The 27,570-nt window shown below is 38.6% G+C and overlaps 1 protein-coding gene across 2 annotated transcripts; it reads left to right on the forward strand.

The window, feature by feature from the left end:
* The first annotated feature begins 961 nt into the window (after positions 1-961).
* SULT1C3 (sulfotransferase family 1C member 3) lies at positions 962-26,345 on the forward strand. Of its 2 annotated transcripts, none has more exons than NM_001008743.3 (8): positions 962-1,077; positions 8,182-8,360; positions 13,359-13,487; positions 14,339-14,436; positions 16,566-16,692; positions 19,728-19,822; positions 25,819-25,999; positions 26,233-26,345. In NM_001008743.3, the coding sequence occupies exons 2-8, from the start codon at positions 8,189-8,191 to the stop codon at positions 26,343-26,345; spliced, it is 915 nt and encodes a 304-aa protein (NP_001008743.1). In that variant the 5' UTR covers positions 962-1,077; positions 8,182-8,188. The 2 variants fall into 2 exon arrangements, with proteins under 2 accessions (NP_001008743.1, NP_001307807.1); NM_001320878.2 differs by lacking the exons at positions 25,819-25,999; positions 26,233-26,345 and adding exons at positions 19,960-20,140; positions 21,562-21,880.
* The last annotated feature ends 1,225 nt before the right edge of the window (positions 26,346-27,570 follow it).

The following is a 27,570-nucleotide window of genomic DNA, read 5'->3' on the forward strand; positions in this document are numbered from 1 at the left end:
ACAGCCATATGGCTTCAAAGTCATGCCCTAAGGCTCTGTGTTTTAGTGCTCAATCATCAGGAACAAAAGTTCAGAAAGAGATTAAAAAGCAATGACTTTGTCTCAAAAGTATAACTGAAATTGAAGATTAGGAATGGTCTCTGGGAGTCTTGCAAAACAGAGGACAGACAATGTAAATATATGGAATTTTAACAATGAACTCTGTACAATATTTACTTAACTCCAGTATACTGAGTGTTACTATGTATAATAAAAAGAGTAAAATCAATAATTAGATCATCTCAACAGATGGAAATTTTACTAAGCACCAGGTGAGGAGTGCAAGATCAGAAGCTCTGGAGACTGTTCTCCCCTGCCCACACCCACTGACAACCACAGTGTGTCCCACTGCATCCACTAACCCCGACATTCTTGCCCTGAAATACACACACACACACACACACACACACACACACACACACACACAGAGGGGGACATGGAGGTTTCATGGTTTTATTACAGGCCTTGTGGTTTCCTAAAATGAACTTTCTTCTACACCAATTTTAACTACGGATTCAGTAAAGAGGCAATAGAATATATTTTCTACAGGGTCAAAGGGAACAGGATGAAATAATTGTGCAAGTTCCTGTCCTGAGAGCTGGTCTGGGAAGACCTTCAGTATAAATATGGGCTCCCTGGGATAATTAATGAATTATTGGTTTGTATTCCCTCATGTTGGACCTGTTCATTTACATTCTGAGTAGCTGGTATCAAAAAGGGAGCAGCGACCCTCAACTTTGTGGTATCTGCAGAGAGCCAAGCCAGGACTAGATTTGTACCTTGGGGAGTACATCAGGATCCAGTGGAGGCAGAACACAGCAGCAGGTGCAAAGTCCTGCCCTGGCATCAGCCTTACCCCAGGCTGACACACCCACCCCACCCATCCTCCCAGGTTTATAAGCTCTGGACAGTCAGCACCATCCTCACCTGCTGTGCTCTTGCTTGCACAGTGTCCTGGAGCTGGACCTGGCTCTGGGTTTCCAGGAAGCAGTTTGACTAAAGGCAGCAAGCTGCTTCCTCTGCTGCCTGAGATACCAGGTAAGCCTCACCCTCTTAGAGACTCTCATCCTAGTGTCTGACGACCACCAGGCCCTGGAAAAGGGTCGGGATATTCAACCCTTGTTAATCATATAAAAAATAGCTTTGGAGCCTTTAGACTTTGCAGCTCCAAATAAAACTCAGGTAAGTCGTGAACTGAATGCCTCATGCATCTTCAGATGGTATTGGGTCCTGAGGTAACACTGAAGCAGAAGTCTAACTCTATTTAGATATCTTTCCCTGATGGTCTGAAAGAATGAGATGCTAAATGCATTCAATAATTTTGATTTGATCTTTAAATACCTGTAACCCTATTGCAAATAGTAGAGTGAATATAGCAATTCCCATAAGTGTGGTGCAGTAGATAATTTCCATCTAAAATTTTACTTACCAAGATATAGAATTTCCCTTTGGGGGTCTGTGAACTTTCTTAGTTTTATTTTCCCAAACAAAGAAACCTCCAGATTATGGGTGGGCACCCTACTTACTTTTATTACCTGGCAGAATTTGCAGGATCATTGCCCAGAACTAGCATATTGATTCAGATTTTTACATTACCCATCCCTTTTTGTTTCTTCCAAGCTGTAGGAGATACCACTTGATTCACAGGAATAAGCAGGGTTCGTCTAAAATGTAGGCAAAAAGCTTCAAAACAATGAAAGAGACTAGAATTTAATGACAAATATATGATAACATTTGGAACACAATTTCTCTCTCCAGTACTCATTTTTGGTAAAAACAAATTATGATAAGACCATGTGTGCTGTGGGTAGAATACACTATAGTCTTATACTTGGCCTGATTATTTGCATAATGTGCAGCAAGAATGGTTACATCTACATATGCCTTTTGGATTGGCTTTGAAGAAACTGTTCCACAAGGAATTTCAGATAAGACATTTAAAGCCGAGCCCAGCCATGGTTCGTATCCTCCATGAGTTGTGTGAGTCTTTCTCTTGAGTTCCCAAGATCAACATGGAGTTAGTTCCCAGACCTGTTAGAAAGTGACATTCCTGACTGACCAGAGGTTAGGAACCCTGTGCCACACTGTGTAGACAAGGTATGAGGCCAGCTCTCCCCAAGAGGCTTTATTGGCTCTGCGTGTCACGCTTGATTCCTCAAAGGGAAACACACCCTTTCAGTCAAAGCATATGTAAAATAACCAGTTTTTCCAATTGTGTCCTGTTGACAAAGAAAAATGGATTATTGTCACACTGATGCAAACAACTATATTGCCGTAAGTTAAGAGTACTCATAGATAGTCTCCTAATTCTAGAGGAACCAGGCAGAGAAAAATAAACATGCTCCAAATTTGGTTCACAATATGTACCTTACTCAATTATTAAAAGCCATAAATAGTTAAAAATAAGTTTACTTGATGATACAAAATAAAACAAGCATCAGCAATATTCCAAGCAAAAGTTTAAAAGCTTGCTTTAACTTTTTGGGTGCAGTCCACTTAGTTAACTCTTGTCTTGCTTGATATTTAAGGAACAAAGCAAGAAAACAATTGTCTGTGAATGACAAAATTTCCCGGATAGTTACAGTTAAAAACATGACTGGGACAGGTCGTGGTGGCTCATGCCTGTAATCCCAGCACTTTGGGAGGCCCAGGTGGGTGGGTCATGAGGTCAGGAGATTGAGAGCATCCTGGCTAACATGGTGAAACTCCGCCTCTAGTAAAAATACAAAAAATAAGCTGGGCATGATGGCGGGTGCCTGTAGTCCCAGCTACTCAGGAGGCTGAGGCAGGAGAATGGCATGAGCCTGGGAGGTGGAGCTTGGAGTGAGTAGAGATGGCGCCACTGCACTCCAGCCTGGGTGACAAAGTGAGACTCCATCTCAAAAAAAAAAAAAAAAAAATCACTGGAAAACCTGGTTAGTAAGCGATTTTAATTATATACCAGGTGTGGATCCTAGGACCCAGACAGAAACGCAAATAAAGTTTGACTTTTCAGTATCTAACTCCATGTGTCCCAGGCCTTACTTATCTGTAAAGCAGGCAATATACAACCTGGGAACATTTAGCAACCCTGGTATCTAAGTTATATGATTCAGACCACCTATTTGCATTTTGACGACACTTGTATTCTACCAATAATTCTTAAGAGTATTTTTAATTCTTAAAGCCATGTGAACTAAAAACGTATTTGATTTAAGCAATTATTTTTCTTTAAGCCAATCAATTAGAGCTCTTTTTGCAGACATTACACACAAAACATATATAGCAGCACAGACAGAAGATTCAGCACTTGTTAAGATTTTTCATTTGCCAGTTTTTTAATTGGATTACTGGCTTTAGGGTGGAGCCCTTGGAGGAGCAGGGTCAGGTACCATGCATTTTTTAGTGCCTAATAAGCAGACACAGCTGAAGGCAATTAGCCCATCCCCCCATAGAAGTCTTATTTTTTAGTGGAGGGTGGGGATGTTTTCATACCTTTCAGGTGGCCAAGAGCATGCTTCTCTGATTTATTACTACTCCTAGCCGTCCCTTACAGTGTATTTTCTACCTGGTTATTAAACAGCAAATCTCTCTCATAATGTGAAGTAATGTGAAACCCCCAAAACATAAACAGTATATAACACAATACATAACAGAACAGAGTCTTTGATTTTGAGAGGAAACTATCTACTTTTAATTTTGGGGGCTTCGTGGGAAAAACAGAGGGCTTTTTATTTTCCCAAAACAGGGTCTGTGGCACCTCCTCTGTTTTTCCCAAGGAGTCCCATGCTACCAGAAGTTATCTTTGGGCCTCTCATGCATGCATTAGGAGTGGTAAGACAAAAAATAGAGAAAAATAATTCAGTCGACTGAGAGGAAAAAAGGCTTTTTCCAGAAAAACTTTTAAATATACCTATAACTTGAATATCCATTTTTAATTAAGCTGAGCACTCTTTAAGAAAATCCTTTTAAATCCCTTTTTACTCGACTTTAGCCATGCCAAGCAGTTAAGATTTTTGACTTTTCAATTTTACAAAAAGTAACCTTACAGGTGAAACCAATGAGCCTTAATTAGGTTATGATTTAACCGTGAGTGTGCAAGGCATTTTCAAAGGAGGGTAAGCAGCTTTTGAAACTATCATTGCAAAATTGTAACTGAGACAGTGAAAGACATCTGACCCAAACAGCTCCATTTTGTTTCCAGCGCCCGAGCTGTCCTTGCCCATCCCTGGGGACAGGCTTCACCAACTTTGGGAGGAACCTGGTTTACAGTTTATACTTTAAAACAAAGATGGTAACAGCTCCTTCTTAAGATATGTTTCCAGGGCCGGGCGCGGTGGCTCACACCTGTAATCCCAGCACTTTAGGAGGCCGAGGCAGGTGGATCACGAGGTCAGGAGATCGAGACCACCCTGGCTAACACGGTGAAACCCTGTCTCTACTAAAAATACAAAAAATTAGCCGGGAGTGGTGGTGGGTGCCTGTAGTCCCAGCTACTTGGGAGGCTGAGGCAGGAGAACAGCGTGAACCTGGGAGGTGGAGCTTGCAGTGAGCTGAGATTGAGCCACTGCACTCCAGGCTGGGTGACAGAGCAAGACTCTATCTCAAAAAAAAAAAAAAAGATATACTTCCCTCTTGCCTGGGAACAAGACCAAAAAACTAGCCAGAAGTCTTGAAACCATCCCTTAGGAGTCATGCAGCAAGAGACTATGAGATTTTGACCCTCCCTAAACTGCTTTCAAGATCAGTGCTTAAGATATTTTGTAAACTCTACCCTTGATGAATCAGCTAGCACCACCCGATTGACAAACTGGCTTATATGATTTTTTGGCCCTTACTCAGGAACTGACTTAGCACAAGAAGACAGCCACCATTGTAAAAAGGCTGAGAGTAAAGTATATTATTGCCATGTAGTTACAGGTCATGTATCCAGACATGAAACAAGATGGAGGCCTGTGGCCAAGTTTGTTACTATTATGTTGGGCTGGCTTGAACCGCAGACTTGTGGGGTCCTGGGCCTGCATCCTAACCTAAGGTATCTTTTCTTTGACAGAACCATACAGAAAGACATGCAAAGCACACCAAATTGTCTACAGCTTAAGATCAACAAAAATCCTTTTTCATTAATTATAAATTCACAGAGAATATAAACAATGATCCTTATTATCCCCTTTACTGGCTCACACAGGGAGAGAGAAGCCAAAAGCCCAACTGGTAAGAAATTTTTACCCTTTTGCCAGCATATCACACTTCTGGGTTCCCTTCCCCCTAGCTCAACTCTAAGCCAAGCATTTTTAAGTTTGGAAAATTAACTTTTCCCAGGTTAAGGGGACATTATAAAAGAGATAGAACCATTATAAACCATAAAAGAAGAAAAAATACTACAGAAAGGAGTTCCAATTACAGTTGTTATGAGGTATCGCCTCTCTTCCTATTGGGAATGGTGTTTTGCCTATATTTTTGCCTTCCCTATTTTTTTCTTTTCCATTTTGGCACACTATAGGAGACATATTACTTATTTCCAAAATTCTCATCTGCTTGCAGAGCTGCCTATTTTAGCTACAGTTAGGGTTTGGCTTAGGAGCAGCATAACTTTCCTCCATGAGAGGGCAAATAACTGAGTTAAATTTTGGAAAGCTTCTATATAGCTATCAGGGTGGTCAGAAAATCAGCCTAAGTCTGCCTTTACTTGTCTAAAGTCCTGCAATGAGAAGGGAACTTGAAGGCACCCCCAAATAAGGGAATCCTCAGGTGGTTTCCCAGGACCTTGCTTTTCTAATTTTGGGGAATTATTCTCTTTGGGCCTGCCTGATATGATTGCTAAAAGAGCTGGGTTGATTTTGCAACACTTGCAAAGGTCTAGTACAAAGGCCACACTCTTGTGCAAAAGAAAATAAGCCACTTTTTCTTCAAAGTTTCAAGGATGAAGGAGTCCCAGTGCTTCAAAATACACTCCAGGGGAGTGCATGTTGAAGATGATCTGTTACCCATCTAAAAACAGAAGTGAGAATAAAAGTGTCCTTTTAGTCTCCTTCCTTTCGGTATTGTGATCAAGGATGGAGAAGAAAACAGTAGAGGGCATTCCTCAACTATTTTCTGTCTTTGGCTCCTGAATCCTGGCACCCATTTAAATGTGCCACCCATGACTGCAGACATGACCCTATAAGTCATGGCCCCAGAGGAACTAAACTTTTGGGCCTTAGTCATACTGTCCACAGGCAGTCTTAGTCTTCTGCCTTTTATTTCCCTTTGACCTCCTAGACTTGTGTGGCCTGCGTGCCTTCCAAAAAAAAAATGAATTTCAAGAAAAATCACATAATTGGGCAAGGCCCCTTTAAGGGAGGGAGCATGCTAGATTGAACTCTATATCCTGCTATGATGGCCTATGCTAAAGCATTTACCCATAGAAAAAGGGTTCTGGTTAACTTCCAGACTTAGAATCCCTTTACTAATTAAGCACTGTCTGAATAGGAGACAGAATAGGTGCCTTAAAGGAACACGGGAATTGAATGGCCATTTTCTGGCCAATGGGACAATCAAGGAGTAGCTAGGAAGCAGGGTAACACGGTTGTAGTAGCTAGGAAGCAGGGTAACAAGACCCTAGGCTGCACACAACGCGGGGACCCTGGGCCTAGTCCACAAAACCATTTTTTCCTCCCAGGCTTCCGGGCCTGTGATAGGAGAGGCTGCCATGAAGACTCCTGACAAGCCCTGGAGACATTTTTCTCATTGTCTTGGAGATTAACAATCAGCTCCTCATTACTTATGCAAATTTCTGCAGCTGGCTTGAATTTCTTCCCCAAAAATGAGATTTTCTTTTCTATTGCATTGTCAGGCTGCAAATTTTCCAAACTTTTATGCTCTGCTTCTCTTATAAAACTGAATGCCTTTAACAGCACCCAAGTCACCTCTGGAATTATTTGATGCTCAGAAATTTATTCCACCAGATACAATAAATCATCTCTCTCAAGTTCAAAGTTCCATAGATTTTTAGGGCAGGGGCAAAAATGTCACCATTCTCTTTGCTAAAACATAGCAAGAGTGACCTTTACTTCAGTTCCCAACAAGATTCTCATCTCCATCTGAGACCACAGTAGCCTGGATTTCATTGTCCATATCATTATTGGCATTTTTGTCAAGGCCATTCAACAAGTCTCTAGAAAGTTCCAAACTTTCCCACATTTTCCTGTCTTCTTCTGTTCCAATCTCTGCCTGTTACCCAGTTCCAAAGTCAATTTTACATTTTCAGGTATCTGCAGTAGCACCCCACTCTGCTAGTACAAATTTATTGTATTAGTCCCTTTTCATGCTGTTAATAAAGACATACCTGAGACTGGGCAATTTAAAAAATAACGAGGTTTAACAGACTTAAAGTTCCACGTATCTGGGGAAGCCTCACAGTCATGGTGGAAGGCAATGAATGGCAGCAGGCAAAGGAAAAGAGAGCTTGTGCAGGGGAACTCCCCCTTATAATGGGTGGGGACACAGGCGAACCATATCAGACCCCAACTAAATTCCAAGTTTCCAGAGTTAGTAGACATGAGAGTTTTCAGGTACATGGGTACAAGAGAGTTTTTTCTGCTGTAACCCATGACTGATATTTCAAAAATTATTCCATGAATGAAAAAAAAACTACATGAAATTATGTTTTTTGAAGATTTTCTCTGTGAAAACTATTCAAGAAAATTGAGTATAGAATGCTCCTTAAAACCATTGTTTTGAATTTTCTTCAATGTAATTGTCTCGCTTCTAATTATACAAAATAATATCTTGAAGACAATGAAGCAATATATGACACATAACCCATTATATTCCCGATTAACAAGTAATATGGTTGTTAGGTCATGCAGCAGGAAAAAGACTATTTGGGTATAAATCTCAGCCCCAACAGGTATTGATTATTTTACTTTTATCAAATTATTTAAACTTATAATGACTTAAGTTTCCACATGTAGAAAACAGAAAAAACTATTACCTATTTTATGTGGTTGCTATGAAGATTAAATAATTAATGTACATAGAGTAAGTTGTTAGCATGTTATATGTTAGCTTTCACTTATTTTATGCTATTCTAATCAAAGGCAGTAAGATGATAACCCATACTATGAACCATAAAACAACATTTTTAAAAATTTTAATTAGTATTGATCTTACCCATCCCAGATTCCCAATGGCGAAGATTGAGAAAAACGCTCCCACGATGGAAAAAAAGCCAGAACTGTTTAACATCATGGAAGTAGATGGAGTCCCTACGTTGATATTATCAAAAGAATGGTGGGAAAAAGTATGTAATTTCCAAGCCAAGCCTGATGATCTTATTCTGGCAACTTACCCAAAGTCAGGTAAGGGTAGCAAAACATAAAAATATTCAATATTTTCACGTGAAATTATTGCATAATCTGTATTGATAAATGAAGCATGATTGGGATTTGGAGAGAAACAATTCCTCATTATGGAGATCTGTTCTTTGGTGCTGCAGGACATTTAGCATTCCTGATCCCTAGGACAACAATTTCCAATAGCACTCTCTGAAGAGAACAGAAAAGATTTCTAAATGCTTTGGTAGTAGGGCAGATAATGCTCCCATTCCAGAACCCATAGCATACATCAAATATAAGGTCAACAAATTGAAAGACCTATGGCTTTTTTAAACATCAACCCTCAAGACAGCCTTCTAAAAGCATGTCCTACTCCAAATATTAATCTATTATCTCAGATATTAAACACAAATTGATTTTCTAATCCTCTAAAGCTCTTGGAGGATGTCAGCCATGAATTTTCTGCTCTGTACCAAATTAGTCTCATTCAGAAAAGCCCAATGACTGACCTTGATTTAAAATGCCTTAGATTTCTAATTCTTCTCTAAAAATTCCTAGACTGGAACACATGCTAGAGTCAATGGGCACACCTAATGCCCAGAACTCACTTTCGATAGGCCATTCTCCATTAAAATGAACCACAGCTATTAGGAGAATTGATGATCCCACTCTTGGGAATAGAATATGCAAGGGGAATGTACTACATCTTCTTTTTGAAGGAGTAAGTGATCAGTATATATTCCCAGAATTGTTTGTTTGTATTAAATGTCTGTAAAAATAAAGCACACATAATAACAAAAAAATTGATGGGGACATGTAGAAGGATACAAGAACCAACGTGAAGGGGCTCTCACAGTAGCCACATTTGGGACAGTTTGAGCATCCAAAAGAATGATCACTAACTGATTGGGAGAACATTAAATAAAAACCTCCTGGTCAGCCATGCCGAAGGGACAAGATTGGATGTGTACTCCAGCCATAATAAAAAAGGAAACTGGATAAAATATATGAAACCACTGGTTTCTGACCTTGGATGACAGTTGTCTCAATCCTCAGACTGAAGATGCTTTCTGAATAGGGTATAGTTATAGGGTGCAAAAGAAAAAGCCATAGCAAACTCATTGAGTTCAAGAGCCAGGTGTAGGAGTTCTGAGAGGTTGAAGTGGCTGCTATTTGCAGGTAAGAGTACCAGACAGAAGGAAACTACACAAATAAATACCTTTAGATATCTTTAGAGAGGACCCTTTTAGTTTATTGTTGAATGGTAGACTGCACTTCCATAGAGCCTATAGCTCCATGAGATCAGGCAAGGAACCACCAGAAAACTATTAGCCATATAATTCCTAGAGATTATACAAGCATGAGAGACTTTTGTGCTCCAATCAGGATAGGATGGACAGAATTTTGGTCCCCATGACATTAGTCCTCTGTTATTACATCTGCCGTTATTTCAGATTACATTCCCAAAAGGATTTTGCAGTTGCTATTAAACTATCTAATCAGCTGATATTAAAATAGGGAGATTATTCTGGACTATCTTGACGGACCCAGTGGAATCATGTGAACAGGAAGTCAGAGAGATGTGGCAGAGGAGAAAGTCTGAGAAATTTAAAGTATAATAAAAGTTCACTGCATGATTATAGATTTAATGATGAAGAGAGAAAGTATCAACAAAACAGTTATCTCAATACTACAGCCACAAGCAACTGAATTCTGTTGGCATCTAGGAGCTTGGCAAAACACCCTGAAGTCCCAGATGAGAATGGCAGCCCTAGCTGATACCTTGATTTTAGCCTAGTGAGACCCTAAACAGAGGACTAGCCATGTTAACCCCAATTTCTAATCTACAGAAACTATGACCGAATATTCAGGTGTTGTTTTAACTCATGAAGCTTGTGGTAATTTGTTAACCACAAAGTCTTCAACCTAGAATTCCATATACCCAGTAAAAATAATATATTAAAATATTACTAAAAATAAAGGTCAAAGACTTTTTCTCTGACAGCGAAAAGCTGAATGTGTTGCCCGCACAGCTGCACTAAAAATAAATAAATAAAAAGTTATATTAAAGAAATTTATTCAGAGTAACAGAAAATAATAGTATACAAAACTTTATTATCTTTCAACATTCCAGCAACACACAGTTGGAATATGACATTTTAAAAATACCATTGATAAAATAAATAGCACCTGAAAACATGAAATATTCAGAAATGAACTTAACAAAGCTGTGCATGATTTGAAAGTGAAAACACTACGGAGAGAAATTGTATAAGACTTAAATAAATAAGGAGGCATACCCTATCTACGGATCAAAAGGATCAATATTTTTAAGATATCAACTGTTTCAAAATTAATGTATAAATTCAATCTCAATCACAAACTGACAAATTGATTCCAAGATTTCTATGAAAATGTCATTAAAAGCAAATATTTTTGATAGAGTAAAGTGGCAGGGTTTATATTAACTGATTTCATGACATTTAACTCAGCTTCAACATTCAAAAGACTGTGATACTGTTGATATTGTTGATAGACATAAATACTTGACCCTTACTTGGTGCCAGATGCAAAAAAGTCAAAGTGCAATGCATCAGACCTCAAAAAATTAAAATTAAATCTCTAAAACTATGGAAGTATAGATAGGAGAATAGCTTCAAACTTTAGGTTAGGCAACAATAATTTGGGGAAAAAAATGGAAAGCACTACCCTTTATGGTTTGCATTTAATGTAAATTCAATATAAATTAGACTTAATCAAATTAAAACTTCTGTTCTTCTAAAGACCCAGTTAAGAAAATAAAAATATGTGACATAGATGGAGAGAAAATATTCACAATACATATATCTGGCCAGAAGGTATAAAGAACTGTTACAACTAAGAACAAAAAACAAAAAAAAAATGTATTAAAGTGGGCAAAAGATGTAAAAATGTATCACCAAAAAAGCTTTACTATTAACCAATAAACACAAGATATTCAACATCATTTATCATGAGAAAATGTAAATTAGTACTATAATGAAATACCACTACACACCACTTCAAATGGCTAAAAACCTGGAAATACTAAGTGTTGATAAGGACACAGAGCAACTGAAATTCTCATGAACTTTTGGGGAGGACCTAACATGGTACTAATGTTGAACAGTTTGTTATAAAACTAAACATGCACCTACCACACAACCCAGCAACTCCAATCCTAGAGATTCACCCCCACCCCCAAAATAGAAATCTATGTTCATATAAAAACTTGTACACAACACTATAGCAGACTTATTCAAAATTAGCCCAACACTGAAGAAAACCTAAATTCGTATTGTCATATAAATGAATAAACAAATCACTGCTTATCCATACAATTGAACTGTTCTCAGCAATTAAAAAAAATGAACTACAGATATATACAAGAACATAAATGAATCCCAAAATAATGAGGGTGTGTGAAAAAATTCAGACACATGAGGACAAACTGTATGGTTTCATTTATATGAAATTCAACAATGTGTAAAACTAATTTGTATTGACAAAAACATAGATCAGCAGTTCCGTGGAGTCGGAAGTGAGGAAAAGAATTACTGATAGCAACAGACACAACGTTCTACTCTTATCTATGGTAATGGCTACATACATTTGTCAAATTTCCTTAAACTACACATTTATAACAGGTTCATTCTATTCTATGTAATTTTTACCACACTGAAGTTTATTTCAAAAAACGTGATTCCATAATGATGAAAAATACAAAAAGAAAAACTTATGTATTATGATTGAAGATAACTGTTATTCATCTCTTAGACTAAAAAGAAGTAATTAAGAGAAAGAATTTAGAGGAATTGCAGTTCTTCCCTGATTTATGAGGGAAAGTTCTTTATATGAAGATCTACCTAATAAATAGAGAAGTGAGGGGATTAGAAAATAAGCAATTTGAAACCCACAATAAAAATTAGGTAAAGTAGGATCATTAATGAATGAATCTTAAAATAATTAGATAAAATATGAGGAGAACTGGCTGGTCACATGGTACTGAAATGTCACCACATAGTTTTATTCCTAAAAGCAAATGGAAATATGGGCCTTTACAATGAGCGACCTGGTGGTCACCTACAAAACTGAATGATGAACAGTAGTATCACTAGTAGTGAGGCAATCAGACGTATGTACTTCTTGGCATGGTGCAAGAAGTACCAAGCACTGCCTGAGAAATCTGCCAAAAATGTTCGCTAGAACCTAATCAAGACCTGGATTCCAGTTTATGGGAAATAGAGGAAATAGAGGAACAAAAATGTACTGTGAAGAAATAATCAGACAAATCCAGAATGTGGGGAGTACTATAGGACAGCTGGCTAATTCGTTCAAAAACCAATGTCAAAGAACAAAAATCAGTATCATTAAGAAAAAATATGGAAAGATGATTCTAAGCTGAGACAAAAAGGATAGCAAAAGTAATGCAGCCAATACATCTTAATTGGGCAAAAGTGATTAATAACATTATGATACAATGGAAAAAAATTAACATAGGTTGAGTATCTCATGTTATTAAGGATTTATTATAAACTAGATGTGATGAGAAACATTTAGTAACCATGATAAGAGAATGTCATATTGGAAGATACAGCATTTTTGGCATGAAGTGTCATAATATAGGAAATGTAGAAATGGTTCACTCAAACATGATAGTTGAGAGATTAAATACTAAAAGATGATAGATAGATAGACAGATAATAGGAAGATAGTAGATACATACATACATACATACTTAGATACATAGATAGATACATAGATACATAAAGAAACAGATGATAGATTAGATAGATAGATAGATAGATAGATAGATAGATAGATAGATGGATAGATAGATGGATAGATAGATGCAGGTATAATACAACAGTTTTCATTTCTGCCTTGGCAACATTGATCTAATTTTAAAGTGCTCTCATGTTGCTGTCTTTCTTCAAAATATTCAATAACTTAGAATGAAAGTTCAATTGACTAAAATTAAAGAACTATTTCAAATATTTTCAGGTACAACATGGATGCATGAAATTTTAGACATGATTCTAAATGATGGTGATGTGGAGAAATGCAAAAGAGCCCAGACTCTAGATAGACACGCTTTCCTTGAACTGAAATTTCCCCATAAAGAAAAACCAGGTGAGTAATATGCACGAAGATAGAAAGGACTTTCACTTCAGGATTCCAGAGCAATGTGTACTGTCTCTGATAGAGCATCCGTGGTAGCCAGAAGTAGCCTGTATCTTTCATGAGGTCTATTTGTTCTCAGGCCAACAATCAAACTCTAGATTGGGTCTTCAGGGCTTCCTCCTGTTCTTAGCTGGTGGCCTTTATCTCCCCAATAAGATTTTCATTCTCTTTCTCATATTTCTCCTACCCAATGTTACGATAAAGAAGACTCCCTCTGCTTTGTATTCTCCTTCATATGTTTGAATCAGTGGAAAGGCCAGAAATTAGCAATCAGCTATTGTAAAATAACAGGTGTGATTTCTGAAGAAAAAGGAGGAGAAGTAGGGGGGATATACCGTGGACATTCCCAGAATTAATTGGGGGAGCTGAAAAGGTTTCCTCAGAGTGTAAAACCCAGTGAATAACATGAAATAAAGACAGACCTCCTAGAGGTCTTTCTTTCCAAGAATGACAACCTATTGTAAAAAAATGGATGTAATTTCTGACAAACAAAAGAGAGAGAGAAAAAGAGAAAGGAAAAAAACAACCAGATATATAACAAACATTCCCAGAATTAATCGAGGGTGAAAAAGAGCTTTCCTGAAAGTCTAAAAGCTGAGAGAATAAGAGGAAATAAGCAAAACTCTCCTAGAAGGTTAGGCAGGATTGGATGCTTTGTATGTCCTTGTGGATAAAAAATTACTATTTCCAATGGATATAAAACAAAATATAATCACTCTACAGACAAAGATATAAATGGAATTCAAGTATTTTGGCAGAGTGCCAAGAATAAACAAAGAATATAAATTGTTTCTTGCTAGATTTGGAGTTCGTTCTTGAAATGTCCTCACCACAACTGATAAAAACACATCTCCCTTCACATCTGATTCCACCATCTATCTGGAAAGAAAACTGCAAGGTATAAAGAGGGGGCTTTTCAAACTTCTCTTAGCTTGGTGATATAAACTATACAACTGAAGATATCTTTCAAAATAATATACTTTGAAAAATATTTTCCAAAATATAATTTGCTATTTTTCTTAGATGAAGCACTTAAAATCAAGGATTACATAAATTTGAAATCTGCAAACATCCATGTTTTCTAAAATTCATTTTCCTCTAATCCTATTTCATGAAAAATTCTTGGTAAGATTTTCCAAAATTGAGTCTGTGTTGCTACAAATCAGAGAGTGTATTGGGAGCTAGAATGGAGGGAAACACATTTAAAAATAAAACCCTGTTGCTTTGCTCTGCCAAAGTACTAGAAGATATTCTCCTGGCCTCAGAAGCAGAGGTATAGAATCTGCTCTTGTCAAGGCTTCCACACCTCCATAATCTACTCAATAAACTAAGCTCAAACCTGTCCTCATTTTTATCCCCCTCACCTCTATGTCTGATCTGTCACAAAGTCCAGTTCATTCTTCCCATCCTTCTAATCTGTGCACTACACTGCAACACTACCACCTGTACCCAACTCAGCTCACTGCTCTCTTTTGCCTCCCACTTTGTCAGCCTGCCTCTAGACCTGCCCCCTCCAACCCCTCCTCCCTGTAACCTCTACTCTTCCTAAAACACAATCTGACTGAGGTATTTCCCCACTATAAACACTTCCACAGGTGGACGAAGATGCCTCCATATCCTCTATATGACTTCCATGCCCTTGACAGTCTGCACCCTGCTCCATCTCCTCCCCAGGGTCTTCCCATACCTGATCCTCACTACAGTCCTCCTGAAATCCTGCAGGTCCTTTCACACATGGAGCATCCCCACACCTTCCACATGCTCTCATCTGACTCAAGCATCTCCTCATCTTTACTTGCATAATTCCTACTTGTTCTTCTGGTCTTTTCATAGAGGGCCCCTACAGGAAGCTTCTGTGACCCCATGGCTGAGTGAGTTTCATGTATCTATATTGGGGTATCTGTGCATGTGTTTCCCCATCATTTTGTTCACCACATTGCATTATAATTTTCTCTCTTCTTACCTCACTGATCAGACTGTGAGCTCCTGACAGGCAGGGACTTGATCGTGCCCAATTTGTCAAGGTAAACAGTGTCTGGCACGTAGGAAGAGTTAACATCTCTGTTCTGCATTTGTTGACTGAATGATACTGAATTTCCAATCATCACATCACCATGCCCCTCTGTCCTAACCATGTGAGATATGTGTGTGTGTGTGTATATATATATGTATGTATATATATGTATATATGTATGTATGCATACATATGTATGTATATATGTATGTATGCATATATATGTATATATGTATGTATGCATATATATGTATATATGTGTATATATACACATATATATGTGTGTATATATATAGCAAAATCACTCAAATCTTTGAGAACCATTGTCTGAAACATTCCTCATGTGAGTCTCATACAAATATCAAGGAACTAGCTCTGGACTCAGTGTCCCAATTTTTGTGACCAGGCATGACCCACTCGTGTACTAAGCATGGATTAGTGGTAGTGCCTCCAATCCTCTGAAGGTCATTTACTTCTTCTGTTGAAGGATAACACCTATTCTCTCCTTACCTAACTCTAATCCTAATAGGAGCCAAATGAGATGGTATGCACAAAAATGTTTTCTCACTCTCTAGTATTTCCCCTGTTGTAGGAATCTGGAAAATTTCTCTCAACTCATTGAGACACAGCTGAAACTCACCATTTCATGGCCCATTCCCTGAATGCCCAGGAATGCTTTGTCACTGGCTCCATGATTACTCAGCATATCACATCATATTCCATGATTGACAGTGCTGTCCTAATAATGTGTTCATCTTCCTGCATAACCAGGAAGAGTGGTTCCTCATAACCACTCTGAAGTGGGGCACTCTCATTTGTCTTTGTGTTCTCCATGGGTATGAGGGTTGCAGAGTCAAAAAGACTCCATTTATTTAATGTTTTAATTCATAACTAATGTATCTAATGCTATAAACTTATAGGATATGGTTACCATTGTATTGAAACACTCACTTGAGTATTTCATGTCAGTCTATTTTTCTCTCCATGGCTTCCTTCCCTCTCCTTGATTTCAGATTGTCTATGTGGCCAGAAATCCCAAGGATTGCCTGGTGTCCTACTACCACTTTCACAGGATGGCTTCCTTTATGCCTGATCCTCAGAACTTAGAGGAATTTTATGAGAAATTCATGTCCGGAAAAGGTGAGTTCAAACTGATCTTTTTGGTACCCTCTTTCAGGTGACTCTAACAATAAGCACCTCTGTAAACTGGAGGAGAAAGTTACAAAAGGCCATCCTGATTGAGGAGGTCCTATCTTGATGATCTGGGACTGGAGAAGCCAGGTAGAAGAGGTATTTTTCCAAAATTGAGTACAAATGTAAATTGAGGTCAACTGGGGTCATAAGTTTTGAGACAAAGGTAAAAAGCCCCAAATCCTTGACTTGAGTTTCAAACAATCAACTTCAAAATAAGAAGAGGCAACATTTCCTATGGAAAGACCTGGCAGTGGGAAGGCATGAGATGATATCCTGCGGTTTCATCTTGCAGTGTGATTGGATGGCCAGACCACCACGTATAGTTACAAAAGTCATACACTGCACAGCCACAGACAGCCTTTCCCGTAGGTCACAGTGCACAATCTTAGACCTGTTCACCTGCAGGAACCTCACATTAGAATTAGCAGCCATGACCCCTCATCCATTTATTAAGATCACACCTTCCAGAGAAGCAGTGAACACATTAGGGCCACACTTTTCAAAATAGCAATTGACTAGATTTGACCAGGTGTCAAATCAGATTGGCAAGGATCTCAAACCCTTCACAGAAGAAGAATATCTCATGAAAACAACAATCTCTAGACAGAAGAAAGATAAGATGGCTACATAAAGTGATTTAGGATGTAAGGACCATCTTTACATATTTGTATGAGCATTAATGCAGAAACATGATTATAGTATTTCATTATAACTGCAGTGAGCAGAACCTAGACAAATGGATAAACATTACATGGTGTCTCCACCATTTCACTAACGTCTCTCAAATAATTAGAACTTCCATAAGTGAAATGGGTGAGTTGTGATGCTGAGAGCTCCCAGTCCTTGAGCAACCTAACTATCCCTGAGCAAGTGTGTTAGGGACCTGAGCTTCATTATAACCAGTCCTGACATATTCATATTCATATTCTTTTGAGGAAAAAGAAAAATCAAAATGAAGTGACTTCCACAACATGACCTGAATAAAAACAGATATCTGTGGAAAAGTCAATAAATAATAATTTCCATCAAGCATGTCTCTCCAGTGAATCAAGAGAGATAACCTCATTAGAACATTTTCTCTAGAAACATAAATTAAAAAGGACTGACAGATGGAAATAAGAAAAATAGCAAATCTAGATAGGACTCCAGGTGAATAGATTTCCAATATTTATGCAGAGAAGTTTTGAGAGCAGGAAAAGTAGGAGGAAGCAGAGGAAGACAGGATCCAAGCTTCTTTTCTTATATGATTTTTTCCAAGGCCTACATTTTGTTACTGTTTTTTTGTGTCAACTTGGCTGGATTGTGACACCTACATATTTAATCAAACAACAATCCTGTTGTTTCTGTGAAAGTGTCAATTGTGTAGTTGTGATTTACATCTATAATCAGTTGACTTTAAGAAAAGGAGATAATGTTAAATATTAATAATATGGGTGGTCTTTATGCAATCACCTGAAGGTCTTAAGAGAAAAAAAACTCAGGTTTCCAAAAGAAAGGATTCTGCCTCAAGGCTGTTATATCAAATCTTGCCTGATTTTCCAGCATCCCCTACAGATTTAAAACATGCCAAGACCCACAACTGCAGGAGCCAATTCCTTTAAATAAACCATATATACATAATATACATTATATATGTACATTTATCTATATGTACATATTACATAGCCATTGCCTAAAATAAATTATATGTGTACACATTTATATTATGCATATATATAAAACATGCACACACATACATATACATGGATGAGTCCCCTTTATACTTGGTTTCCCTTTCTGCAGTTTTAGTCACCCACAATCAACCCCAATCCAAAAATATTACAGTATTTCAAGAGAAAGAAGGATAGAGAGAGGGAGATTACATTCACATAGATGTAAATATATTAGAGAATATTGTTATAGAAGCTCTGTTTTATTATTAGTTTTGTTGTAATTCACTCACAGTGCCTAATATAAAAATTAAAGTAATATACACATCTATGTATAGGAAAAAACATAAACACTATTATCATATAATTTGGTACTATCTGTGGTTTCAGGCATCCGCTGGGGGTCATGTGATATATCCCCTGTGCATAAGGATGAACTAATGTATTCTTTGGATTTGCCTATTGCTCTGTGTCTCTGGAGAACCTGGCTGACACAGATACCAGTCACCATGACACATGCCAAAGTTCAAGTCACTGCAAACTTACATCTCTGTTTGTCCTGATTCAAAAGAGAGCATTTCACACACTTGCTCACTTGGTCTGTGGTCATTTTCCTCTGGAGAATGTTTTCCATCATCCTTCAGACGAATCTTCAAGTCCACTTAGCACAATGCTTGCAACATAGCTCACCCTGAATAAAGATAGCTCCTGTGTTTATAATGACTGCCCAGAACCAAACCAGGAAGCTGCCAGAAGTTACAACCTATCAGGGACACTAAAACATCCCTGGGATAAAATATGGTGCTGGCTAACTCAGGTGTCCACTCATTCTCTTACCAACTAGTGAAAAGAAAATGCATCCCATGTTTACCACGTAGACACAGCCTCAGCTGGAAATAGAAGTTCTCCTGGAGGGCACCCCTCTTTCTGCTGCTGCTGAGTCTCTTTTGGAAGAGGAACTTGCAAACTGCATAGTGCAGCTATACAGGGAAAGCAGCAGGAGGACCCTACCCATTTATAGGATGGCCTGAATTAGTTGAGTCTGAAACTAAACATGGTTTACCAGGAACAGGGGAAGAATTTTATTGCCGAATGTTTTAAGACATGTCACAAGACATAGTCAATGTGTGCAAAGTCACATATAATAAATGTGTACTATAAATCTCGGCTTTACACCATATAGACAAATTTTATTACTAGAAAATTATTTCCACTTCGTTAAGGAACCAGAACGATAGTTACAGAAGCTTATTTCAAAGGAGCACTAATTTACTTTATAGCCTTGGGTTTTGTCCCAGTACTGGGAACTAACAGTGCTCTGACTTCTTCCAGTTGTTGGCGGGTCCTGGTTTGACCATGTGAAAGGATGGTGGGCTGCAAAAGACATGCACCGGATCCTCTACCTCTTCTACGAGGATATTAAAAAAGTAAGTGGCACTGAGACTTATAGGTCAGACCCAGAAACCCTCCTGACAATGTTATTCTGTTAAAAAGCTGTGTCTTTAATTGGCCAAGTTCTTCTTCTTTCCTCCCTCTTCACAATGCCTTTTTCTCCCATGATCAGAATCCAAAACATGAGATCCACAAGGTGTTGGAATTCTTGGAGAAAACTTGGTCAGGTGATGTTATAAACAAGATTGTCCACCATACCTCATTTGATGTAATGAAGGATAATCCCATGGCCAACCATACTGCGGTACCTGCTCACATATTCAATCACTCCATCTCAAAATTTATGAGGAAAGGTTGGTGGCATTTCTTTTCCTTAACTGAACTCTAAAAAATTTTCTACCCTATATGCTAAAATAATTTTCAACCTAATTTTCAGGCAGAAGTGACTCATTTCAGTTAAATTTTGAATCTCTGCTCCCTTCACCCTGCCTGTTTGCAGACAGCCAATGTCAGTGGTTCTGAAACTTGAGTCACATTAGAACCCCTGCAGGCCTTGCTAAAGCTCTGATTGCTGGTCCCCACTCAGAGATACTGATTCCACAGATCCAGCAGTAGCCCTCAAATTTGCTTTTCTCTCAAGTACTCAGGTGATGCTGATGGTGCTGGTCACTTTGATTACAATACCCACCTCAACCATGAACTTCCCTTTGAAGGCTTGTGCATCCTCTGAGCAGCTTTGAACACTCATCTTTAGTCTATCCCTGTAGTTCAAAACCCTAGCTAAGCACTTAGTACTTGGATTTGTAACTACTGATATTCATGTCTGTCTCCAAAATAAGATGATAGGCTGTCCTGAAGAGAGTGTAGTGTTCAGTTTTGTTCCACTAGAACCTAGTATAGAGACTCATACCTCAAAACAACTCAGTAATGGCCTGTTGTGTGAGTGTACAGATGAATGAACATTATTTCTGTCCTCAACAAGTTAACATTCTAGATACATGCAAAAATAGCTGCAAAAAGTTATAAACAAGAAAGTAAAGTGGAAGCTATACTAGGAATTCCCTAATACCAGTTCTCCTGGCTGTATCAAAATTACCTTTAAAAACAGTGACCCCATTCCAGAACATTCCAATTAACTAGTTGCAAGCTGGAATCTAGAATTTGATATTATGGGCAAGCATTTCAGATTAATCCTCTTGTCAAAGGGTAGGAAACCAGTAGAAATAAAGTACTAGGATAACTTAGAGAAACAATTCATTAGTACAGCATTTGTTGGGCTGACAAGGTACAACAGTTTGCAGAAGATCCCTAGTATCCAAATGTCATTTCCAGTGGATTTACTATTTAATTTTACCCAACAAGTAATATCTTCTACAATGAGGTTACTGACATCTTGTAACGTCTTTCACTGTCCCTGGGAGAATAAGATAGGCTGTCCCCCAGGAAGTCCATGATGGTAACCAGCTGTAGACTTTGGGTTGGGTACACTAGAGCCAGGAGTGTACCCTGGAGCAGAAGATTCAGCACAGTGGGGCACCTCAGTGGGGCCTGCAGCATTTGAGGAAGGAGTATAAGGATGCTGTGTGCCTTGTGGTAAGAAAGCCAAGTGGAGTGGAAATGAGGGACCATTCATAGTGGAAAGACCAGAGGGAGTGGGACTGAGGGACCCTCACTCATGGGAAAATCACGTGGGTAGGCCTAGGAACCATTCACTATAGAAAGGTTAGGTGGAATGGGTGCAGAGTCTGTCATGAACTTCTTTGATGTCCTACAGGGATGCCTGGAGACTGGAAGAACCACTTTACTGTGGCTTTGAATGAGAACTTTGATAAGCATTATGAAAAGAAGATGGCAGGGTCCACACTGAACTTCTGCCTGGAGATCTGAGAGGAACAACAACAAACTAGGTGACAGAGACTATGCCAACTATTTCGCCTTTTATTCTGTTGAGCAAGGAACTGTGACTGAATGTGGAGCTTATGAGCTTCAGTCCATCTCCTATAGTGTGGCTAGTTTGCTATAATATTAAAACATGATTTAAAATATCAACAAACCAGTTACTCCAGTAAATAAAATAAGAGAATTAGAGAGCAGAGTCCGCCTACATGAGTTTTTTTGTTTGTTTGTTTTTTAAGTACAGGTATGTTTTATTGTGCATGACAGACAGAGCAAAAACAAACAATTGCATCATGGATTCCCATGTGTGATCCCAAGTAGATTTCACAAGAAAATTATGCATAGGTATTACAAGCCCCATTGTTAAGAGAGAATGTAACAGCTTGAAGTGTACATTCTATACTTTTATGTATAAATAATAACTTCCAAGAGAAAAGAGCTGATAAGTACATTTCAGAGTCACCATTTCTGTAATAGAATGATATAAAAATAAATTACTACTGCAAAATATCAATCAATTGCAAAATGATTACTGCTCTACTTTTGGCTTGTAACTAATTTTCTCAATCGAAAGAGTTTGAGTTGGAGAAATTAGTCAGTGAGTACTCCTGTAAAAAATCTTCCCACGATATAAATAAAATGCTTAATGTATCTAATCTATAAATTGAGATCTGGGACAAATGCACCATGACTATGCATTGCCATTCTCTTAATAACTATGCATTGCCATTCTCTTAATAAAGAGTCTCTGTTGCATCACTCTAACAATAGGTATGACCTCAGATTTAATATAAATTTAGTGCTTCAACCATGCACCAGTGAAGACCTGGTTTTTTATATGACCAAGTACAATTGTCTTATTAGAAGAGAAGGTCCTGAGGGGCCTTAGGGAGTAGGTGGATGCCAACAGGGCTGATGGCCTCAGAGATGACAGCATGTAACATGTAAGAAAGGGGGGAAATTTGGAAAGACTTAAACTCAGAAATAAAATTAAAGAAGTGTAAAAAGGTATTCAATTAACATCTTGAAAGGGAATCAGGAACAATATACATAGCTCCCAGTACACAGAGCAAAGTAACCTCCCTGTGGTTGTGATCATTGTCTCTACCTTATCGTAGTGACAAGGCAGTGCTATTGTTACGCCAGGCAAAGGGGAAATGACATCCTATTCTCTAGTCAACTGGATGGAAGACAAACTCAAAGGTAAAAAATAGATGATGAGATTTTAAGAAAAGAGAGCAGCTGGTCCCTAAGGCCTGCTGTAAGGAAGCAGAGAGGATGAAGATGGGGGCATTTGAACCAGCCCAGAGGGGACCCTGGGGTGAAAGTTCCCCATCAGGCATTACCCCACTGCCTACATCCAGCCAGATAACCCAACCACCTGAATTACCATCCTCATATTTAGTTGGTGATCCAGAGAAGAGATTTCCTCTAGTATTCCCTAAAGGTATAGCAAGAAAAAAAGAGATTCCTTGATCACTCCTGCCTAGTCAATGCACTGGAAGACTGGTTCACAGGGCTACTGTGCTTTGTAATTGGAGACATGAGAATCCACAATGATTAGAAAGCTCGGGCCCCAGGTACTGTCAGAGTCCACAGTCTACCTCAGAGAGGAGGAGGCAGATTAAAGGAAAAGCAAATTTCATTTTCCTACTCAGAAATGATTTTCTACTAATTGAAAAGCAATTGAATGCTGTCAATAAAGACATTTCCTGTACTAACCTTGGACTCAGAGTATTGATGACCAACTATACAAAGCTTATTTCTTCCATGCAATGGATGATACCTGCCTGCCTTTGCAGGTATTAAGGGGTATGATGCTGAGAGTCCAGGTGTAGAAGATGGGATCACGGGTTTTGGGCAAAGCATTTTGGCTATCTAATGTTAAGAACTGTAAGGTTTGAGAATGCCTTGATGAAAGTTCGTAAAAGCTACAAACAGAGTTGCTGGTCATTTCTACAAGGAGGCTGTGAACTGCTCTTCATCTTCTAGAGGCATATTTTGGCTATGGGCTACTAAGATTCAGACAGGTGTAAGATATAGTTTGCCCCATGGCCTCCCCTAGAACTTTCCCCAATGTGACTGTTCCTGGACTAAACTGAGGGTCGGGCTGCTATTTCCTGTGGCCCAATAACAAGATGCAGATGAACTGGGGAGGAAGAGAAGTTTTATTTCTGTAACTGGTTACATTCAGAGGGCCTGGAAATTATCACCAAACCAACTCAAAATGACAAAATTTTTCAGAGCTTATCTACCTTCTAAGCTGTATGTCTACATGTAAGTGTGCATGCCTTCTAAAGACATATGTGATTAATTTATTTTAATTTATAACTAAGATCTGAGTCCTGAAGACCTTCCTCTGGTGCCTAATGAAGTTTGCTTAATTTAAATGGGTCTCCAGGTACTGGGTTGATCACCCTTATCTTGTCTCCTGTTAAACTACTGAGGTTTGGGGAGTTCCTTCAGACCTCCAATAAACGTGTTTGTGGAGGCCTGGGGAGTTTCTTCAGAGCCCCAATAAAACTTATATAATCCTAACTGGGTACTGTTAAGAACTCCTTTATTATTTTGTCATGTTGTAAGGCCCAGGAAACGCCTAGGCAAAACTCTGGATGGGCTTTTGTTACATTTCAGCCTTTGCATAAGGGCACTGGCTTTTTTTAATATTTAACTTAACCACTCACTGAATACTGAAACAGTTGTGATGGAGGCCTGCATTAATGCAACCTGCCTGCCACAATCCCCACTGTCAATTTGTGCATAATTCTTATCATGCTAGTATATTTATTTATCATGAGAATTGTAGGGATATGGGGCATTGTAATATTTCTGGCTACTTCCTGCTGAGTGAGTGTCATTGTTATGGGACACTGAATGCAGCATTGGTATAGGGGAGGTCTATTTGTTCCCAGCAGCACTCTTTGTTTCAGGGGCTTAGAGGCAGCACCTGCTGAAACATTTAGTCTTCAGTTCACAGGGCTTTAAGAAAGCACAACTTAGGTTTCAGTGATTTCCAGTTAGGAAAAATGGGGTAGTGCATGGGCTTTCATGCAGAAGAGCCTTCAGTGCAAGTCCATGACAATGTTTGCAACTCAGTTTTATCCTCAAAAGCTCTAACTACTTTTTCGGTATTCTAAATCTGCTTTGCTTTAATTCAGTTTTCAAAATATTCTTCTTCCTCAGGAAATAGCACATGCTTTATAGTTGAATGAATCTGTTGGCTCCTGGCACTTGTAAGCCAGATATCTTTATCTGCAAAATGGTATCATATCTATCTCATGAGATCATTGTAAAGATTTACACTATCATACTTGTAAAGTGTACATAGTTGTGTTCAAGAAATTTAGCTTCCTTCTCCCTCTTGCACACCTCAACCCCACATCATAAAGCAAAGTTTAATCCATATAAACACTGGTAGGATTAGTCCCACATATTGGGACAGTGGACTGATTTCTGAATTTCAAACCATCGTGTCTGAGTGTCTGCACAAATTCACTCTCATGACCCAGTGCATCAGCATCCTAGAATTACAAAACTAGCATCTGAGATGTCCTCAGAAATTTAATCAAAAGCTATAGCTTTCTCTCTTTCTGTATCTCTTTGATCAAAAAGATCCAAGAAATAAGGATCTATGCTTCTGGGTCAACTTGAGATTCCTTTTATTCCTCCTCTTAGTGACCTTCTGTTAAGTTCATAGGTTCTTTTTGCCATCTGTTGTAGTCCAAATACTAGAGTTAGTTATACTATGCTTCACCACCAACATTGTTCCTCCTTCACACAGCCTTTCCTGTTCTCCCCCAGGAGATATCATTGCTCCTTCCCACCAAATCTCCTGGCACTCTGTCTGTACGTAGGCAGCATGTACTTTCTCAGCCAGCCTTGTGATTGTTTGTGTTTATGCTTAATTCCTTTCCTTCAAGGTAAGCCTCTTGAGGGCAGGGACAACCCTCATCTTTGTGTTGCTACAGTATCTGGGACAGTACAGTGTCTGGCACTAGGAGTCACTTGAGAAATATTTTTAAAATGTGTTCAAATGATCCTTTAACTCATTTCTCTCCAAATACTGTCCAAATGGAACATCATCCCCAAGGGAAGACCCAACATGATTTGTTTGGTGTGACTGTTCCACATACAGGACCCAAAGCGGGAAATTGAGAAGATACTGAAGTTCCTGGAAAAAGACATATCAGAGGAAATTCTGAATAAAATCATCTATCACACCTCCTTTGATGTAATGAAGCAAAACCCAATGACCAACTATACCACTTTGCCCACCAGCATTATGGACCACTCCATCTCCCCTTTTATGAGGAAAGGTAGATAAGCTTTGTAGTCTAAGATGTCAAATGGAACTCTGTGGTCCCCATGGTCTGCTTAGATTTTCCAGTAATGTTTCATTCTCCATTATTTATTCTTTCCAGCAGCACCACTGTACAACCTTTGAGAGGCAAGTTGCCTGTTTCTCCTCATTCTTGGTGGGGTCCTAAGGGTGCATGCTTACCTCTCCCTCTACTCCTGCAGCAATCATTAAGATTTTGCCTTGTTTCAGGGATGCCTGGAGACTGGAAGAACTATTTTACTGTGGCCCAAAATGAAGAATTTGACAAGGACTACCAGAAGAAGATGGCAGGAAGCACCCTAACCTTCCGCACAGAGATCTGAGAGCAGTCAGGGAGTCTGTCCTGGACTTTCTTACCAGATTTTTGCCATTTGAGCCTCATGATCAAGGACACTTAAAACAAAGACACCCTTCCTCCAGTCTGGAGCTGTTACACACTACCTGTAGATGATAATACTTCATCAAAATGTAACCAAATCCTGGGTAGAGTTTTTAATTAAGATACATGATCCCTCATTTAGACACCAACCACATAACGTACTCCCCTGTCCTAAGGCAAAATAAAGGCAATTTAGTTCCATCACTAGTTTACAATAGTGAAATAAATAAAGAGATAAATAAGAGTAGAATTTCAATGTAAGAGAAAGTGAGCAAGAGAAGAATGAGGATGATAAGTGGGCACTAAGGATAATGTGTGGGGGAACTGGTTTTTATTTTTAAAGGTCAGGAATGAGAGGCAGAGGATAGTCCTACTCTTGAAGATATTAGATTAGGAGGTGCAGGGGGTGGCATGAAGGATGGAATGCTGTGAGCTGGGTCTGGCTCAGGTGGCTTCAAGCTGAAATGGTCCCAAAACCAAAGAGAAAGGCCACAGGAGAGCGATAAGGAACACAAGATGAACAAGAAACTCAGCCTACTTCTGTGGCCAACACAAGGCTGGAAAGCAGAGAAAGATTTTATCTTTCAGATGGACTTCTGAGAGAGAGAGGAAGTCTTCAGTGAGCTCAAGGGAAAAATAAAATAAAATATTTGGTAACTCATGGACGTTAAGAAAAGCTTAAATTTCACATCTCTGTGGAAAATCGTTTTTTATACTTTTTTTTAAAGGGCTCTTAGCAAAACTGTCAGCATTGCCAAGTTCTTCAGCTACACTAATGATTATGTTCTTTTCCTTCTTTTTGTTAAAACCTGTACCAAGAAAATATCTGCCATCATTTTATACAAGCTATACAACGATCCATGTATCATTATTCTTTTAATGTCAGGAAGGTACATTTTGTGGGATAGGTGGTTAACTTATCATTAAACCATACAACACAAAAAAATATCTACTCCACCCGGTAACAAAGTATACCCCTTTGCATTCTTTCATCTTTCCCTCTCTAGGGTAAGCATGCAAATCATTAACCACATGACAAATATCCCAGTATAGTATTTATGCAGAGTTCCGGCCTGCACTGAGGAAAGATATGGTGAACTGAACCAGCATGATTCAATAGCAAATAAATTTTTATCAGGAATACCCACACCAAATGTCTTGGGTTCATG

This window comes from Homo sapiens, chromosome 2 (genome assembly GCF_000001405.40).
Source record: "Homo sapiens chromosome 2, GRCh38.p14 Primary Assembly".
NCBI classification, from domain to species: domain Eukaryota; kingdom Metazoa; phylum Chordata; class Mammalia; order Primates; family Hominidae; genus Homo; species Homo sapiens.